This window comes from Homo sapiens, chromosome 8 (assembly GCF_000001405.40).
Source record: "Homo sapiens chromosome 8, GRCh38.p14 Primary Assembly".
Lineage (NCBI taxonomy): Eukaryota > Metazoa > Chordata > Mammalia > Primates > Hominidae > Homo > Homo sapiens.
This window is the reverse complement of record NC_000008.11, coordinates 70,124,902-70,143,291: the sequence shown is the minus strand read 5'-3', so window position 1 is coordinate 70,143,291 and position 18,390 is coordinate 70,124,902. Positions and strand designations below refer to the sequence as shown.

General features: G+C 41.2%; 1 protein-coding gene across 49 annotated transcripts in view, besides 1 other annotated feature; it reads left to right on the top strand.

The window, feature by feature from the left end:
• NCOA2 (nuclear receptor coactivator 2) overlaps nucleotides 1-18,390 on the top strand; it is a 346,665-nt gene that overhangs the window by 313,155 nt on the left and 15,120 nt on the right. For 25 of the 49 annotated variants that reach the window (XM_047421240.1, XM_047421256.1, XM_017012963.3 and 22 more), the window contains 6 exons: nucleotides 1,893-2,108; nucleotides 4,960-5,089; nucleotides 11,290-11,455; nucleotides 14,312-14,590; nucleotides 14,782-14,859; nucleotides 16,245-16,686. In XM_047421240.1, coding sequence (XP_047277196.1) covers nucleotides 1,893-2,108; nucleotides 4,960-5,089; nucleotides 11,290-11,455; nucleotides 14,312-14,590; nucleotides 14,782-14,859; nucleotides 16,245-16,686 — 1,311 coding nt within the window. The remainder of the gene's footprint in view (nucleotides 1-1,892; nucleotides 2,109-4,959; nucleotides 5,090-11,289; nucleotides 11,456-14,311; nucleotides 14,591-14,781; nucleotides 14,860-16,244; nucleotides 16,687-18,390) is intronic. The other 24 variants (XM_047421258.1, NM_001321703.2, XM_047421262.1 and 21 more) reach the window with 1 other exon arrangement.
• Nucleotides 12,804-12,853: an enhancer, noted in NCBI's record as "active region_27505". NCBI's record gives its function as "activates an Ori minimal core promoter by ATAC-STARR-seq in GM12878 lymphoblastoid cells {active_cell/tissue: GM12878}" and the evidence as "EXISTENCE:reporter gene assay evidence [ECO:0000049][PMID:35858748]".

Sequence of the window (18,390 nt, the reverse complement as noted above, 5' to 3'; positions counted from 1 at the left end):
AAGATCATACAATACTCTCACGCTGTTTAAAAAAACACAGACTAGGCCAGGCATGGTGGCTCATGCCTGTAATCCCAGCACTTTGGGAGGCCAAGGCGGGTGGATGACAAGGTCAGGAGTTCGAGACCATCCCGACCAACATGGTGAAACCTCATCTCCACTAAAAATACAAAAATTAAATGGGCGTGGTGGCGTGCACCTGTAATCCCGGCTACTCAGGAGGCTGAGGCAGGAGAATCACTTGAACCCAGGAGGCGGAGGTTGTAGTGAGCCGAGATCATACCACTGCACTCCAGCCTGGGCAACAGAGTGAGACTCCATCTCAAAAAAAAAAAAACAAAAAAAACAAAACACAGACTGAGAGGGACTTTCCCATTTATCATTGCAGTAATATTGTTGAATTATGGATCATTCTCTTTTTTGCTTTCTAGACTTCCTATAATCTTGTCATATTATTTAGATAACAGATTTTTAAAAAAATAAAATCCCTTTTTCCCATAATATTTTTCTATAGTTCAAATCTAATTCTAAAATGGTTTTTAAAATATGTGTTAATAGAATACCCTTCTAACTTTTTATTTTAGTTTATTTTTGAGACAGAGTCTTACTTTGTCACCCAGGCTGGAGTGCAGTGGCTCAATCACAGCTCACCATAGCTTCAACCTCCCAGGCTCAAGTGATCCTCCCACCTCAGCCTCCTGAGTAATTGGGACTACAGGCATCTGCCACCATGCCCGGCTAATTTTTGTATTTTTTATAGAGATGAGGCTTCCCCATGTTGCCCAGGCTCACCTCGAATTCCTGGGCTCAAGCAATCTGCCCACCGCAGCCTCCCTAAGTGCTGGGATTACAGACATGAGCCACCGCGCCTGGCCTCTTAACTTTAAAATCTAACTGACTACCTTTCACCCTTAATCATCACAGCACATTCTCATTTCGTAAGTGAAGAAACGCCCACAATGCATGTTCATTTGTTAAATATACCCCATTTTTAGTTGTTTATCGTAATTAAAGAAAATGAAAGCAGCCATATATTTGAAAGCAGAACCTTCATGTATCCATCATTAAACACTTCAAAATGAAGAGACCTCATTTGAAGAGTTTTCCCTTTAGAATATCAAGTCTTAGCAAATGTTTGGCCATTATCAGCATCCTGGGGGCCAGGACAGGACAGAGCAAACACAGTCCTGCTTAGCAGCGTTACGCTCTTATGTGTGGTCAGATAACTGTTAACACCTCAAAAAGGAAGGGATTTTTACAAATCTGTCCTAACCCATTCTAGGTCTGTATAGTCAGGAATACAGTGGATACAAGGCAAGGAACTCCCTTGCCTTGGCTATGAAGAACTACAGTAAATATCAGAAAGATCTATAAGTTCTCCATTGCTTAGAGGCTACTCTTGGTCAGTTTTGAAGTATACCCTGAAGGAGACTTGAGGATAAAGTCTCATATAGACTTCAAGATATCTTCTATGATTATCGTTTATAATGAGAGTATTGATTATCAGTTTTTACCTTATTCCTCTTGGCCTCTACCTCCCTTTTGGAAAGTAAAGCATTGACGTGTATATCAGCTAATGTGATTCACTTCCTGAGGAAGGAAGTTGGGGTTATCCACACGCCACGGCACCTGTTTCTAAGTACAAATGGGAACAATTTTAATAGCTTTTCTAAACTATAAAGAGCGGCAGGTCCATGTTATGAAAACTATGTAGTGATTGCCAATTGTTATTTCTTAGCCAAGGTCCCACATCTGCCCAATGAGAACATTAGCTATTGGCTAAGTGTGAATTACAGAATGATTGTTTTGTAGGGTAAGATCATCTGGTGTTCATACATGCTAAATATGTTTTCAGTTACTGCATCTCTCAGTTTTCTTTGGCTTGCATGCAGGAATGATTGGTAACAGTGCTTCTCGGCCTACTATGCCATCTGGAGAATGGGCACCGCAGAGTTCGGCTGTGAGAGTCACCTGTGCTGCTACCACCAGTGCCATGAACCGGCCAGTCCAAGGAGGTATGATTCGGAACCCAGCAGCCAGCATCCCCATGAGGCCCAGCAGCCAGCCTGGCCAAAGACAGACGCTTCAGTCTCAGGTCATGAATATAGGTAAGGTGGCTCTAGTGCTGTTTGCTTTTAACTTTTATGCTCTCTTAGAAAAGAGAGCGTCATAAGTTCTTTCAAGACATGCTTCTTATGGGCATTTTAGATAATCCTCCCATGAAGCTGCCATAAGTGGGATTTTGCTGGAACTCTGTATGGAATTAGAATCTCAAAAGTTCTTCAGTCATATAAGAGACCCAACTACCTTTGAGATGTTTTATTTTTACTAAATTACCTAATTTCAACTTTGGGGAAGAAATGAATTATAATGTCACACTATTAATAAAGAAATAGGCCAGGCACGGTGACTCACGCTTGTAATCCCAGCACTTTGGGAGGCCGAGGCAGGAGGATCACTTGAGGTCAGGAGTTCGAGACCAGCCTGGCCAACATGGTGAAACCCCATCTCTACTAAAATTACAAAAATTAGCTGGGTGTGGTGGTGGGCACCTGTAACCCCAGCTACTCAGGATGCTGAGGCAGGAGAATCACTTCCTGGGAGGTGGAGGGTGCATTGAGCCAAGATGACACCACTGCACTCAAGCCTGGGCAACAGAGCAAGACTCTGTCTCAAAAAAAAAAAAAAAAAAAAAAAACTTAGGTGGTACAGCAGTAGTTTCTAACGCTGTGTGATCATCAGAACAATATCAGGAACTTCAAATGCAGATTCCTGGGCCACCACCTAGACTACTAAATCAGACTATCCCAGGCCCTCACTGAAGGTTGCAAGGTCTTACAGAACATCTCACAGAATGTGAGGATTACTAGAATTCTATTTGGAGACAGTTCACATATTATTAAAATTGATGGTCTGATACATCATATGATACCATTTATATGAAATGTCCAGAATGAGCAAATCTGTAGGGACAGAAAGTAAAGTAGTGGTTACCTAGGGCCAGGAGTTGTGGGGAGGGGCTCAGGTAGGAAGTAGGGAGTGACTCCTAATGAGTAATGGGTTTCTTTTTGGGGGAATGAAAGCGTTCTGAAGTCGATTGTGGTGTGATGGTTGTACAACTCTGAATATACTAAAACTCATTGTACACTTTAAATAGGTGAATTGTATGTTATGTGAATTATCTCTCAATAAAGCTGTTATATTTTAAAAATTAATGGTCTGTACAACTCATACTTGAGATTATTTCCTTTATCATTGACATGTTAGCCCTCTTCTTGTACATTAGCATAATTCCAATAAGTTTATGTTCTTTTCATATACTTAGATATTGCACAATGAGGAAGAGCTAAATAATTCACAAAAAGATGCCAGGCACTGTGGGAGGCTGAGGTAGGCAGATCACCTGAGGTCAGGAGTTTGAGACCAGCCTGGCCAACATGGTGAAACCCGGTCTCTGCTAAAAATACAAAAATTAGCCGGGGGTGGTGGCGCATACCTGTAATCCCAGCTACTCAGGAGGTTGCGGTAGGGAAATTGCTTGAACCCGGGAGACAGAGGTTGCAGTGAGCTGTGACTGCAACACTGCATTCCAGCCTGGGCAACAGAGTGAGACTCCTCCTCAAAAAAAAAAAAAAAAAAAAAAAAAAGATGGCCAGCGTTGTTTTGACAAGACAGTGTAGAATTTTCATCCTAACTTGGCATTAGTTTTCTTACCTATTTAATTGTTCAGCATATTTTGGCTTATTGTTTCTCAGAGATGGCATTTATATTGCCTCACTACATTGAATGTACTTAATGAGTGATTCTCAAACATAAATTTGTATAATTTGACAGCACGAAAAATGCTAAAAACTGATTTCTGTGCAAAATTAAATGAGAAATTTAAAAATATTTATTGATTAAAAATCATAATAGTGAGTACCTTATATCCAGAAATGTAATTTATTCTCAGTCTTCACTGAAGAGCATCTGGCTCTTGAGCTGGAAATATGGCTCTATAAGCTTTATTGTATAGCTGAGTTTCTCTGATTTTTAATAAACTCCAAAAGCTATTAATTCAACAGAAAATTATCTTTTGGAATGGAATACAGGTCTACAGATAATGATGATAATATAATTTTTAAAAGCTCATCTCATCCATTGGCTTTAAAGCCTTTCGAAGAACTTCGGAGAAAGAGTGCTTGTGGGTTGTCTTGGCCTCCTTTCTGCTCTGCTCTTTCTCTGGTAGGGGAGCCAGCTGAAGTACAGTTAGTCGACGTTCAGGAGCCAGCAGTCTCGACATGGTGCAGCACCCTGATTCCCAGTCAGAGAGTCTGCAAGGCCAAAACTATTTTCATACTAATCCTAAAACACTGTTGGCTTCTTCACTCTTATTATCGCCCAAGCGTTATGGTAGAGTTTTCCAGAAATTTTACATGCTATATGATATCACAGAAGATGAAATGCGAAAACAGAGGATTTCACTCTATTCCATTAACCCAGGCATTAAAGCTATTTGCAGAAATGTAAAACGATGCCAATAAAAGAATTTTTTAATTTTGCAATCAAAAATCTTATTTCTTCCACTTACTTGGATCTAGAAAAAAATCTTTTAACATATAATTCATTTATTGTGATTTTTAAATGAATCTACACTTTTTTCTGTTTCTCAATTTCAATTTCCAGTACAGTAAATATCAGTAAGATATAACGCACATGAATAAAAACTTTTTTGAGTATTTAAAGTCTTAAATGCTAAAGGTTTAGAACTGCTTGTCTAGATATTCTCTGAAATGGCTTTCATATTTATTGACTTCTATTTCAGAATCAGAATTTTATCTTCTTATATTCACCTAGTTAATTATTACTGCTTCTGTGTTTTCCCTTTTTCATAAACCAGACATTTCACTTTATATTACATAGCAGAAATAAATGCTTCCTTGATTAAAGATGTAAGATTTTTTTCTTCTCCCTTTCTAGGGCCATCTGAATTAGAGATGAACATGGGGGGACCTCAGTATAGCCAACAACAAGCTCCTCCAAATCAGACTGCCCCATGGCCTGAAAGCATCCTGCCTATAGACCAGGCGTCTTTTGCCAGCCAAAACAGGTGAGTCCTGAGCACCTAGGGTAGCCAGTTATTTTATACCTGTCCAGAAATTAATCTTTTCCTTTGGAGTAGTCGGTGCCTGACCAGTTTTCATTTATTGGTACTATATTATCTACTGTGCAGTGCATGAAGAGGAGGGGTGAATCCAGAAATCAGTATGACCTAGGACATACCTTTAAAGGAGTTACAAATTAAATGGAAAATAACATATGTATGCTGATAACTGTAATATTGAGGTAGTGTGTGGTATAAAAATCATAAGCCATGTTTCAGAAGATCATCCAACCAGGATGCTTGGAGAAGCCTTCAGAATCTTGAAGAAAAGGTCTCATTTCAGATGGCAGAGATGACAGGAAGCCAGTCCAGCTGGTAAAAGCTGCATATCACAGGGCCAGAGTAAGGATTGCTGTGAGTAGAATTGAGGCAGTGGGTGACAGAGGAAGAACCTCAGGCAGGCGGTGTGGCTCGTCCCAAACTGGCTGCCAAGGGCAGTGGTAGGCGCACACTGTGTAGACAGGGAAGCATGCCCCAGGTAGATAGCCATTGCTGTCGCACTTGGAGCTGCTGTCATACTTGGAGGTGGTGGTTTCTCACAGTCCATCTTGTTCTTTGATTCTTGTTTCATGACATCAGTGAATGGTAGGCTATTTCTAGATACGTTTATTTGATATGTTAGAAACCCACCCATTTCCATGGAAACTTGAATATAACACAGGACAAATGTATAATAATTAAATCCACCACCTGTTAGTTGTTTTTGGATGAAATGTCAAAGATTAGTTTTTAGGAAGAACTAGACCCAAAATTAGGATTTTTAGTGTTGCCCAAACAGGAGGAGAGTTCTCTTAAAACAAAAATGGAGCTAGACGCGGTGGCTCACGCCTGTAATCCTAGCACTTTGGGAGGTTGAGGCGGGCAGATCACCTGAGGTCAGGAGTTTGAGACCAGCCTGACCAACGTGGAGAAACCCTGTCTCTGCTAAAAATACAAAAAAACTTAGCCGGGTGTGGTGGCGCATGCCTGTAATCCCAGATACTCGGGAGGCTGAGGCAGGAGAATCGCTTGAACCCGGAAGGCAGAGGTTGTGGTGAGCTGAGACCGCACCGTTGCACTCCAGCCTGGGCAACAAGAGCGAAACTCCAGTGATAGAGTCAGCATGTTAAGTTTGCTGTGCAAGTGTCTGTGACTCAGCACTGCCCTAGCATGTTGTTGTTTCTGTTACCATCAGTTAGGTTTTTTGCATAAGCAATGTGTGGACAAAACATTTTCATTACGTTTAAAGTTATTTCAGTTTTTCTAGCCACTCTCACATTTTTATTTTAAATAATTCAGTGTGGAAGAAACTTAGAACCAGCTTTATGGTAATCTTACTGTCATAGAAAATCAGAAGTAATGGGTAATAAAGTTTCTAACCATGTCTCTCTTTTGAAATAAAAGAAGAGCAGTGCTTTTTAAAAATCCCCTTTATAAGCATCACAGTTAATATTTAGGAACCAGGTTTTTTAACGTTTTATGAATCCAGCATCAGTTTATGTATACATTTCAAAAAGATAGTAGTTTAGCCCTTAAATCTGTAACATTCACATATTCATGTATTTATAGCTAATTTCCACTTTTAGTTCCATTATGGGTTTTTGGGTTTTTTTTTTTTTCCTTCATTCATCTGGTATATAAAAGAGATCTTTATAATATAGCCAAAAATTTATAGATGACTTTTTAAAGATATCTGTTGGTTTTATTAAAGGGGTTTTCTCTTGAAATACAATAGCTGTCTTTCATGAAAGACTTCCTTTTGCATTAAGTTCACAATTTGGTGGATTTTTGTTTGGTTTTTTTGTTTTGAGACAGAGTCTCACTTTGTTGCCCAGGCTGGAGTGCAGTGGTGTGGTCTCGGCTCACTGCAACCTCCACCTCCTGGGTTCAAGTGATTCTCCTGCCTCAGCCTCCTGAGTAGCTGGGATTACAGGTGCCCAGCTAATTTTTGTATTTATAGTAGAGACAGGCTTTTGCCGTGTTGGCCAGGCTGGTCTCGAACTCCTGACCTCAGGTAATCCACCTGCCTCAGCCTCCCAAAGTGCTGAGATTGTAGGTGTGAGCCACCGCGCCCAGCCTAAGTTCACAATTTTAATTTGATTTTCCCCTGTTTGAAATGTATCTCTAAGTAAGGTTTCTTTTGTTGACTATTTCTCATCATTCAGTAGCTGCTGCTTTTTTGCAGAATTTTGAAAATACTTTTGAAAAGTGAAGAAATGGTAATGTTATGGTTTCTCAATCAAGTGCTGAGAATTTGACCTAATTCTCCTTCTTAGTCCCGTACTTAATGACCTACTAGTCCATAAATAAACATGTAGACTTTAAGGTATGGGATTTCCATTGATTATGGATCTCTCTCTGCTTGTTTATTAGTTATTATTTTGCACCAGCCTGGGGCCTGTGTGTGTTTTTCCCTTTATTACCCTGAATTCTATTCTCGTCTTAATATTATATTTATCTGTCAGATGCTAACTAGGTTGTAACTATATGTAATTGCCCAAAACATAGGAAAATAATTTCTTCATTGTGTTAGTGGCCATTTATAAAGTTCAGATTGGGAGTCTGGATCAGTGTTTTTTCTGTAAGCAAGCATATTATGACATCTCTAAGGGAAGTGATATCACTCATGCCCAAATTTATAACACCAAGCCACAAGGCAGTATGTATTTCTGAATATAAAAGTGGTTTTTAATGTATTGTAGCTCAGCCAAATCAGGAACCTTTTGTTTTCATCCACTAGAAACTTACTGCACCTATACTGTGTTTATGTTCAAGCACTGGGCCAAAAAGAGGTAGAGGATGCAATGCTTGCCCCGTGTGAGCATGGTGTGAAGTTGTGTTTTTAACATAAATTGTTAGTATCAATTCAGCATAGCACAGTAAGTGGTTTAATGCTGAGAGGAGAAAGCGGGGCAGTCTATGAGGAGATGGGTGGCACCCCAATGGAAAGTAGACCCTCAGCTGGAGAAGAGCGTGGGAAGGATGGGGTAAATGTCAAGGTATTGGTTTTCTGGTGGTATGTGTAGCATCTTTTGGAGAAAGATCAGCTGCCCGTGGTAGCTGGAGCTCACAGGGAAGGCATGAACATTAAGTTTGGGAAGGTTAGGCGTTACCCACCACCACTACCACCCTATTCCAGGGGCGTTTTCCTGGGAGAGCTGAAGAACCACATAAGAATTCTGAGTAGGGCCTGTTTGCTCTGTAAAGTGTGCTTTGGGAATGGGAACCTGAGAGCATCATATTAGAATTAGAGATACCATGCAAGCAGGAAAGTTGTTGGGAAAGTGTCCCGAGAGTCCCAACTTGTGTTGAAGAGGGCCTTGACCAAAGTGGGACGGTCTGGAGGCACTGTTTAACTTTTTAATCTCTGCATTTATTTGGGGTTTTTTAAATTAAAAAAGAAAAGCATGTAACAAAAAGTGATTTTATGATGTAGGAAATTGTTTAAATTCAAATGATTGTTTTAGTTGTTTGTTATTAAGCATTTGGCTGTATTGCTGATCTGTCAAGGTGGAGTGGTCTTACAAAGGCACGAGACAGTGCCTGCCTCCTCCTGACAGTGGGTTTCCGCCAGATGTGAGGCTGAGAAGTCTGCTTGTACAGCCTGCACGCATTAGATTTCACACGAACCTGCCATCACTGAATACATCTGGGACGGGAGGGTTGCATATGAATGCAGCTTCCAAAGAAACAAGTTGAAAATGACAAAATCTAGGTAAAGAAAATCCTTTAATGCCTAACTTAACTAGCATTTTTAGGGAATGAGGTAGCTGCCTAGGAGAATTTGGTAAATAGCTGACATTACTCTTGACTGACTTGAACTCTTTCATGGAACTCCTGCCATATCCATGTTTGTTGGCCCCTCCTCATTGAGGAATCTCCTCTCTTTGCTATCATGGCAGACAGTCCAGTGGTTTCTCCCTCTCCTGACTGCTTTTCTGCATCTGCTTCTTCCTCCCGCTCCCTAAGTGTAGCAGTAGTGGAGCAGTCTGATCACATTTGGTTTAAAGAAAGTTCTAGGAGAGTGTGGGCTGTGGAGAAGAAGCAGGAGGAAGGAGCCAGCAAGCTCCCAGCATGTGTGACTTTGTGAAGCCCAGTAGTGACAAGAAAGGGGCAGAAAGGGGCGGGAGTGGGAAGAGCACCTGCCTCTCAGGGGTCTGGGTGGGTCCCTTAGAAATGCAAGGAGCTCCTGCAGTGAGGAAGTCGGGGAAGCAGGTGACGCGTGGCCTCAAGGGACCCTCAGCTGGACAATTTCCAAGTTACTAGAGGTGAGTGGAGAGAATAGGTTGTTATTAATGCATTCCTTTATGAACATTTGAAATTAATTGTTGGTTTCAGTGCTAGCACTTCAGTATTTCAGAATTCTAAGCCAAAATAGCATATTAGAGCATTTAAAAACCACATGGCATATTGAACTGTGTTCATAGGTAACTTCATTTCTTGATAAGTTTATTCTGACTTGCTTAAGAATGAGTTTGCTCATCTATAAACTTTTTGTTTGTTTTTTAATCTGTAAATGTTTATTTTCTCCAAAACATCATGTAGTGACTCTAAGAGTACAAAATAGACTTTTGGTAAAGTACAAATACCATTTTCCCTTTTAGTATTCAGGCAACTCAGAAGCTCTTTTTTAAAAGCCTCCTCTAGGCTAGATGTGGTGGCTCACGCCTGTTATCCCAGCACTTGGGAGGCCAAGGTGGGAGGATTGCTTGAGTCCAGGAGTTCGAGACCAGCCTGGGCAATGTAGCAAGACCCTGTCTCTACAAAAAATGTACAAAAATTAGCCAAGCGTGGTGGTACACATCAAATCTGTAGTCCCAGCTACTCAGGAGGCTGAGGTAGAAGGATTCCTTTAGCCCAGGAGTTCAAGGATGTAGTGTGCAATGATTGTGCCTGTGAAAAGCTACTGCACTCCAGCCTGGGCAACATAATGAAACCCTGTCTTTACCAAAAAAAAAAAAAAAAAAAAGTAGCAGCCAGTTGTGGTGGCACACACCTATAGTCCTAGCTACTCAGGAGGGTGAGGCCAGAGGATCACCTGAGCCCAGTGAGCCATGATGGCATCACTACACACATACACACACACACACACACACACCCCTCCTCTACTCTAATCTGACAATTAATTTAAATGTATAGGAGTTGTATGTACCATGTAATTTAGAGTTTAGTGTTCTGATTTCATCACCAATTATCTTATATAATAACAAATATAATTTGCATGTTGATGATCCACTTTCCTTATGTACCTAATGCAGGAAGGCTAACAGATACACTTCTTGAGGGTTTTAATAAATGTTTTCAGGCCAGGTGTGGTAGCTCACGCCTGTTATCCCAGCACTTAGGGAGACCGAAGTGGGTGGATCGCTTGAGCTCAGGAGTTCAAGACCAGTGTGGGTAACATGGCGAAACGCCATCTCTACAAAAAAATACAAAAAATTAGCCAGGCGTGGTGGCGCGTGCCTATAGTCCCAGCTACTTGGATGCTGAGGTAGGAGGATCACCTAAGCCCGGGAGGTTGAGGCTGCTGTGAGCCATGATCACACCACTGCACTCCAGCCTGGGCAATGAAGTGAGACCCTGTCTCAGAGAAAAATAAATGTTTTCCAGGCCTGCTTGTGCATGACTAAGAAATTTCCTATCAACCCAGCCAAATTTAATCTAGCTGCAGCTGAGTTCAAGAAAGTTAATGCAGCTCTGATGCCTCTAGTTCTCTCATTTCTCCCAGGTGGGTCATCACAGCTTCTAACTAAGAATCTTAAGTCAATCCGTGATTCCTACTAAAGGGCAGAAAAGTCCTTTGGTTCCTTCAATGCCAAGTAAATATTTACATGCTTGAGCAGTCGGTGTAGGTTGGTGAGCCCTGGACTCACACAGATCCATGTGGACCTCACCTCACTAAGCCTCAGCTTTGCCAGCCGTGAAGTGGGACCAATAGAAATAAAAATCATACCTTAAATGTCTAGATTTGTGCCTGGCCTGTATTGGGCACTGAATAAAGTGTATCGAATATTTCAGACTGTCCTTTTGTTCTGTGTTGAGTTGGTACAGTAGTTTGTTGCAACAACCCTGGAAGTCAATTGATACTTTCACCTTTGAGATAAAGAATTTGTTCTCTAATCAACTAGCTTTTCCATTGGCCCAAGGTGACATTTCTGTCTTTACAGGCAGCCATTTGGCAGTTCTCCAGATGACTTGCTATGTCCACATCCTGCAGCTGAGTCTCCGAGTGATGAGGGAGCTCTCCTGGACCAGCTGTATCTGGCCTTGCGGAATTTTGATGGCCTGGAGGAGATTGATAGAGCCTTAGGAATACCCGAACTGGTCAGCCAGGTATGCGCGGAAGGGCAGCAGGTGGGGGCCAAGCGCTCTCATGGGCGCAGAGGTGTCCATTTTCTGTTTACAGGTACTCCACGGTCTGCTTTTTAGAATATATTGTTGTTGTTTTTTTTACCTCAAAACAGGCTGGCCCTGTTTCTTCCTCCCCTTTCCTTGTAACCCTCACATAAACTTTTGCCTGAGAATGGAGAGCACTGAAAATGAGCATTGCATACAGTTCAAGTTAGCAGAAAGACACAAACTCAAGTCCATTTCACCTGGTGTCCGCCCTTGCTGATAGGGAAGGACACACAAGATACAGAGAAACCACAAACAGCACATTGCTGCCTTGTGACCTAGAACGCTTCCCCCTGGAAGTTGGTGTGAGTGTAGTCGTGACCCCAGTATTCATTTCACACCTGTGGGCTGGTGATAGGAAGCTGTTTGTGCTAAAAGAATACTTTCCACATAAGTTAGCAGAAGTCATTTTACAGGTAGCTGCAACTCTTTCATCATTTTTACCTTTAAAAATGGCGGGTTAAACCTTTCACTTATGGTTTAGCCCAGGAGTTCAAGGATGTAGTGTGCACTGACTGTGCCTGTGAAAAGCTACTGCACTCTAGCCTGGGCAACATAATGAAACCCTGTCTTTACCAAAAAAAAAATAAAATGTCACAGCCAGTTGTGGTGGCACACACCTATAGTCCTAGCTACAGTTCCTTTCACTTATGGTTTAGCCCACCATAATTTTGGGGATGTTTAAGCGTAAATGGGAATATAAAAAAGTTAACTAATCTTAGTGAGCTTATTTAGCTTTCTTCTTCCAAGTAATTAGTTGGTTACTATAAAAAAGGAAGTCCCTGCTTTTAGAGTACCTGATAGCAATGATATAGTAAATAACCTAACATAGTCCCTTGAAAGAACAAAACACTATCTGAACTGACTGCACAGCTAACTTTGTGTGAAGCAGTGCAGCCTGGCTTACTGTGTAAAGAGTAACCCAGAAAAACCATCATGTTCTAGTTACTGTTTTCCTCCTTACTTAGCATGAATCATCTTTATTTCTTACTGCCAAAAAGTACCTGCCAGTGTCCAGTCTACTTCTTGGCCATATGATGTGTCATCATCTTTCTGAGAGAAAGATGATGCAGAGTCATTGGAGACTTCTCTGAAACATTAAAATTAGTCTTGTCATAATTCCCACAGTTGAGCAGACACAGGTGGGAGTTGTGACTTACCAATTCATATTGAAAACAGCAGAATGGAAAGAAATGACTTGAGGTTACATGATATAACCTGAAATAAGAAAGGAAAATGGAGTTTAAGTATTTCCTGTGTGACTGGTTTGCTTTGTCTTCAGTGATAGTTAGAATTCAGCCCTCAGTACTATTTTATCCTTGAGTTTATCTAAGTGACATTTTAAAATGTGATCCGTGGAGTTGCTGAGTGACTTGTAATGTTATCAAAACAGGTGTCATGTCTTTTAATATTTTTAGTCCGTTTTTCACTCATTTCTGTTATTTCTATTTTGTCTCATCAAATCCACCATCATTATAATATTGTCATGAAACTGAATTATAGAAATATGTTTATTAGGTAGAATTGAGGGAAGTATAGAATACAAATTATTCGTATTCATGTTAAAGTTCTGAGATGTTTTTGTGTTTAGTTAGAGCAGTAATTCAGCAATGAGTGGTTTCCTCTGCTTAGGCTCCATCCCTGTGTTTAGAATTACCATAGGGAGGGCAGTGGGCTCCTGGCTGTCACAGGCTGGCCTTAGGGCTGTGCTGATCAGAGCTCAGGGCTCTGGGCGGCTCCAGCACTACATGGGTAGATGGTTTTCAAGAAGGCCTAGGACAACGCTGAGCTAAAGAAAACTTGAGGCTGGGCGTGGTGGCTCACGCCTGTAATCCCAGCACTTTGGGAGGCTGAAACGGGCAGATCACCTGAGGTTGGGAGTTCGAGACCAGCCTGACCAACATGGAGAAACCCCGTCTCCACTAAAAATACAAAAGTAGCCGGGCTTGGTGGCGCATGCCTGTGATCCCAGCTACTTGGGAGGCTGAGGCAGGAGAATTGCTTGAACCTGGGAGGCAAGGTTGCAGTGAGCCGAGATCACAACATTGCACTCCAGCCTGAGCAACAAGAGCGAAACTCCGTCTCAAAAAAAAAAAGTCAGGAGTGACAGACACATAAACCATGTCTAGTAGGTAATGAGAGGATGATGGCAAAATGTGGGGCACGTAGGAAATCCTGACAGCCACAGAAAGCAGTAGATAATAGGCAGCGCATCACATTGGTGAGGAGCTCAGATCCCAAATCACAAACTGAATTGGACCCCACCATGTACTAGCTGAATAGGGCTTATTGCAATTCAATTCATGTCTTTAAGTCTCATTTTTTTAAGCTACAAAATCAGGATAATGATGGTCAGTACCCCACACTGCTGATCCCAGTCAGGTGCCAAAGAGGTTATCTAATTAAAATGAACTCTACAGATATGAATAATCAATCAAAAACTTAACACTTCCAGGGGATATTTGCATCTGAAAGTCCAGGCCAATATGATTGGTGGAGTGGGTAGGAGGCATTCTGTAGTCCTGACCCATTTTTCCCCTTCCCTTGGAAGAAGTGCTGCTGGGAGTCCAGTGTGACCCCGGCTTCTGTCCTTGTGTAACCAGAGCTGTGAGCAGAAGCATTTTCTAGAAAGACAAGTGGAGTCAAGCTCTAAAGGTACCTTTGTGTAGTAAGTATAATATTAAAAAGTATAAAAAGCTTCAAATATATGATAGTGAGAGAAAACAGCCTTATATTGACTCTGCTGTTTTTATGGTTTAATTATTTGTTTGTTATTTGGGACTTTCTCTCCAGAGCCAAGCAGTAGATCCAGAACAGTTCTCAAGTCAGGATTCCAACATCATGCTGGAGCAGAAGGCGCCCGTTTTCCCACAGCAGTATGCATCTCAGGCACAAATGGCCCAGGGTAGCTATTCTCCCATGCAAGATCCAAACTTTCACACCATGGGACAGCGGCCTAGTTATGCCACACTCCGTATGCAGCCCAGACCGGGCCTCAGGCCCACGGGCCTAGTGCAGAACCAGCCAAATCAACTAAGACTTCAACTTCAGCATCGCCTCCAAGCACAGCAGGTCTGTTCTTCGATGGCACCTGGGAAGTCAGGGGTGCTGGGTGGAGGACATGGGGAAGATGATGTGAGACAGCACAGCTGTCCAACAATGTGCAGATACTGGGTTGGGGAGGGCAGTTACTTGGGAAACTTGATTTAAAGTAAAATGTATTCTGTTCTTAAAATGTATTCATCCTGTTTGTATGTATTTAGAATCGCCAGCCACTTATGAATCAAATCAGCAATGTTTCCAATGTGAACTTGACTCTGAGGCCTGGAGTACCAACACAGGTAAGGCAACATACCAGCCATTAGCTTTCATTGTATGCATGCAGCTGCTTTTGTCATTTCTTCCTCTCTGAAGAAAGTTAACTTAGTAGACGTGGATCCAGATCAGCACACTAGCCCTGTACTGTCATCTAGTTACCTACTAGTGTGTTATATTTTTCCCTTCTAATCACTGCCATTTTTATTGCCAGGTACAGTCAATTCTTGTTATTCTAAGAAGTTGTGCTACATAAAGTTACTGCAAACACTGAATTAGAGAACAGCCAACTATCGTTCCTAGGAGGAATACAGGGTTGGGTTCCTGCAGACCTCTGGTCACAACATTGTCATCATCCAGTCAACACATAACCTTGTTTTATGTGTGTTTCTGTTTAAAGAACTCACTGTAACTCAGGCCTGAATGGCGCTTATCTAGCACACCTGTTTTCTCCAGAAGGCACATCACCGCCTCTTGCACTTAGGAACACTAGAGAGCACTGCAGCACCATGCCTGGGAGCCAGTTTAAGCAGCAAAATCACCAACAGGAAAAGCAAAAAATGCAAAAATCTTGGCACCAAATAGATCACAGAGGACACTAGTTTACAGTATGAGAGCTGAAACCAGAAGGCAAAGTGTTGCCTTGTTCAACCTCTGCTGGAAGTGTGCACATTGCATATCTGAAATGTTTTACCACTGTGCTCATGTCTACGAATGACTGTGACAGTGGCATGTGTATTGATTTGGGGGTTACAAATAAATTTTACTGAGTAGGCAACTTCAGAAATGTGGAATTCATAAATGAGGATCAACGATATCTTAGCAGCCTCATGCCTCTCACTGACAGCAAGCACTGGGATCCCTTCCCTTCATCCATCCTGCCTTTCCTCCCTCTCCACCCTCCACCTCTGACTCGGTCTCTGTGCGTTCTTATCAGGCACTCTCCTCGCTCTCCCCTTTTCCTCCTGCCTCTGCTCAGCCTTTTGTGAAGTGCACCACGTCACCTTTTGTCCCAGTGATTTTATTTCTCTATAGACTTGAATGTCACTTGAATGAGACTCTAAACTACCATCCTCAGGGTTTATATTACAGTCTTCTTATAGAAAGGACTGTGTTATTTTGAGATCCTTCAGTTAATTGTGTCCTTACAAAATGATTTAATTGATATTAGCATCAAACTTAACTCTGCTGAGTCATAGCAAAGCTTCAGAATAATCATATCTTTAGAACTTAGAAGCTCATGTTCTCAATCACTAGTTGTTCAACTCTGAGTCATTCCTTTCATGTAATTTTTTTCCAAATAATTTTACAGATGATAGTACCATTTGCTAGCCTCTCTATAATACTCACTTTGTTTTTTAATCTATGTCTGTCCCCGACATTTTCCTCCATGTGTTGCCCCGGATTTCAGGCACCTATTAATGCACAGATGCTGGCCCAGAGACAGAGGGAAATCCTGAACCAGCATCTTCGACAGAGACAAATGCATCAGCAACAGCAAGTTCAGCAACGAACTTTGATGATGAGAGGACAAGGGTTGAATATGACACCAAGCATGGTGGCTCCTAGTGGTATGCCAGCAACTATGAGCAACCCTCGGATTCCCCAGGCAAATGCACAGCAGTTTCCATTTCCTCCAAACTACGGTACTGGACTTAGATCCCCACCACCTTTCACCAGTCCTTTCTCCCCAGTGTCCCCCAGTGTTGGGTCACAGCTCCTCTCTCACAGCTCTTTGCATGGCTCCCAGATGAATCTGGCTAACCAGGGAATGATAGGAAACCTGGGAGGACAGTTGGGGCCTGTGAGGAGTCCCCAAGTCCAGCACAGTACCTTCCAGGCTCTCAGCTCAGGTACCTCCTTTTCTCTGAGTGCAGGTCTTACTTTAAGAATGACCGAAGTAAGTGTGTGTGCATAGACTGTGTCTATCTTGTGTGCGAGCGTGTATGGATCTATGTTTATGTCAATGTCTACAAGTTCATATATGTTTATATATTTGAAAGCCTCTGAGTCTGACTCAAACAAATCAATAGATACAAAATGTAAAAAGACCTCTATAAATTTAAATATAGACATTCTGCGACTTTTGAAAAATACTTTACAGATTATACCAGATCATTAATGAATAGGTAATTCTTGAGAAGTACTGTATAGAAACTACAGTGGGAGACCTTTTAGTCCTCTTCATATTGATTTGTTGTTTAATGTCAGTCTTAAGAGATACCAAGTGTGTAATGTCATGAACATTAATATTTGTGTGCATGTCATGTTCAGTTAATGGTTGAATTATTGATAAAGTAAGTGCTTACATTAATGTTAATATTCAAAAATGACTTTCCCTACCCTTTGCCAGTTATCTGTAAATAACTGTGAAGTCTGTTGCCGAAATCCAAGTCTCCTGTTTCTTTAAAGAACAGAAAGATAATGTGCAGCCTTTTTCTATATGATCTTAAGCTTTTCTTTTGTAGCTAATTTAAATATTAATTAAATATGCATGTTTTACAAGTCTTCTATGCAAAAGTGTACTTAATACCATCCTCAAAATACTCTAAGTTGCCTCCTTTGTTTCCCAGCTCCTTTCTCTATTTCCTTCTTGATGATTTAGAAAAGTGTGCTGAAAGTTCTCTTTCCTTTTAGTTTAAATTCTGTTTGCCTCGAAACTGAACAAGAAGCATACATTGAATTTTTTTCTTATTCTTACTAATATTGGATAGCCCTAAAGTACCACAGAGCTCTTTATAAAGACAAAACAAGCTAACCATGAATACAGCTATTTATTTTTAAAGGTGGATCCATCTCATCATGGAATGGCTTCAGCTAATTTAATATAAATTTATTCAAATGTGTTGACTTTTGATATATAGCTGAACTTTAATCCAATTTAAATTTAATTTAAACAATCTGGCCAGGTGCAATGGCTCATGCCTGTAATCCCAGCACTTTGGGAGGCCAAGAATCTCTTGAGCTCAGGAGTTCAAGACCAGCCTGAGCAACATAGTGAGACCTTATCTCTACTAAAAATTAAAAAAATTAGCTGGGCATGGTCGTGCATGCCTGTAGTCCCAGCTACTCAGGAAGCTGAGGTGAGAGGATCCTTTGCGCCCAGGAGGTCAAGGCTGCAGTGAACTATGATCACGCCACTGTACTCCAGCCTGGGCAACAGAGCAAGCAAGACCCTATGTCAAAATAATAATAATAAGCTTAATTTAAACTAATTGCAGTGATACTTTGAGATTTTATATGTGTATATATATATATATTTCTTGTTGATCAAAATATGTGACTCATTCTTGATTTGGAAAGGAATTTGAAGAAAGAATAGCATTGTTTCTTTCTAACTCTAGCTATGATGGTTAATGGTTCCTAGGCACCATCTAACTACTAAGGGGAATCAGTATGGAGATTTTATTTTCTCCATATTTTATCCGAGCTTGGAATCTTTCTTAAATGTATGTAATTAATCAGTACACAATCATATATTTGAAAGTAATTTTTTATGCATGCCTAATTTGGAATGTTCTTTCCCCCCCACCAGTCTCTACAATATAACTAACAGT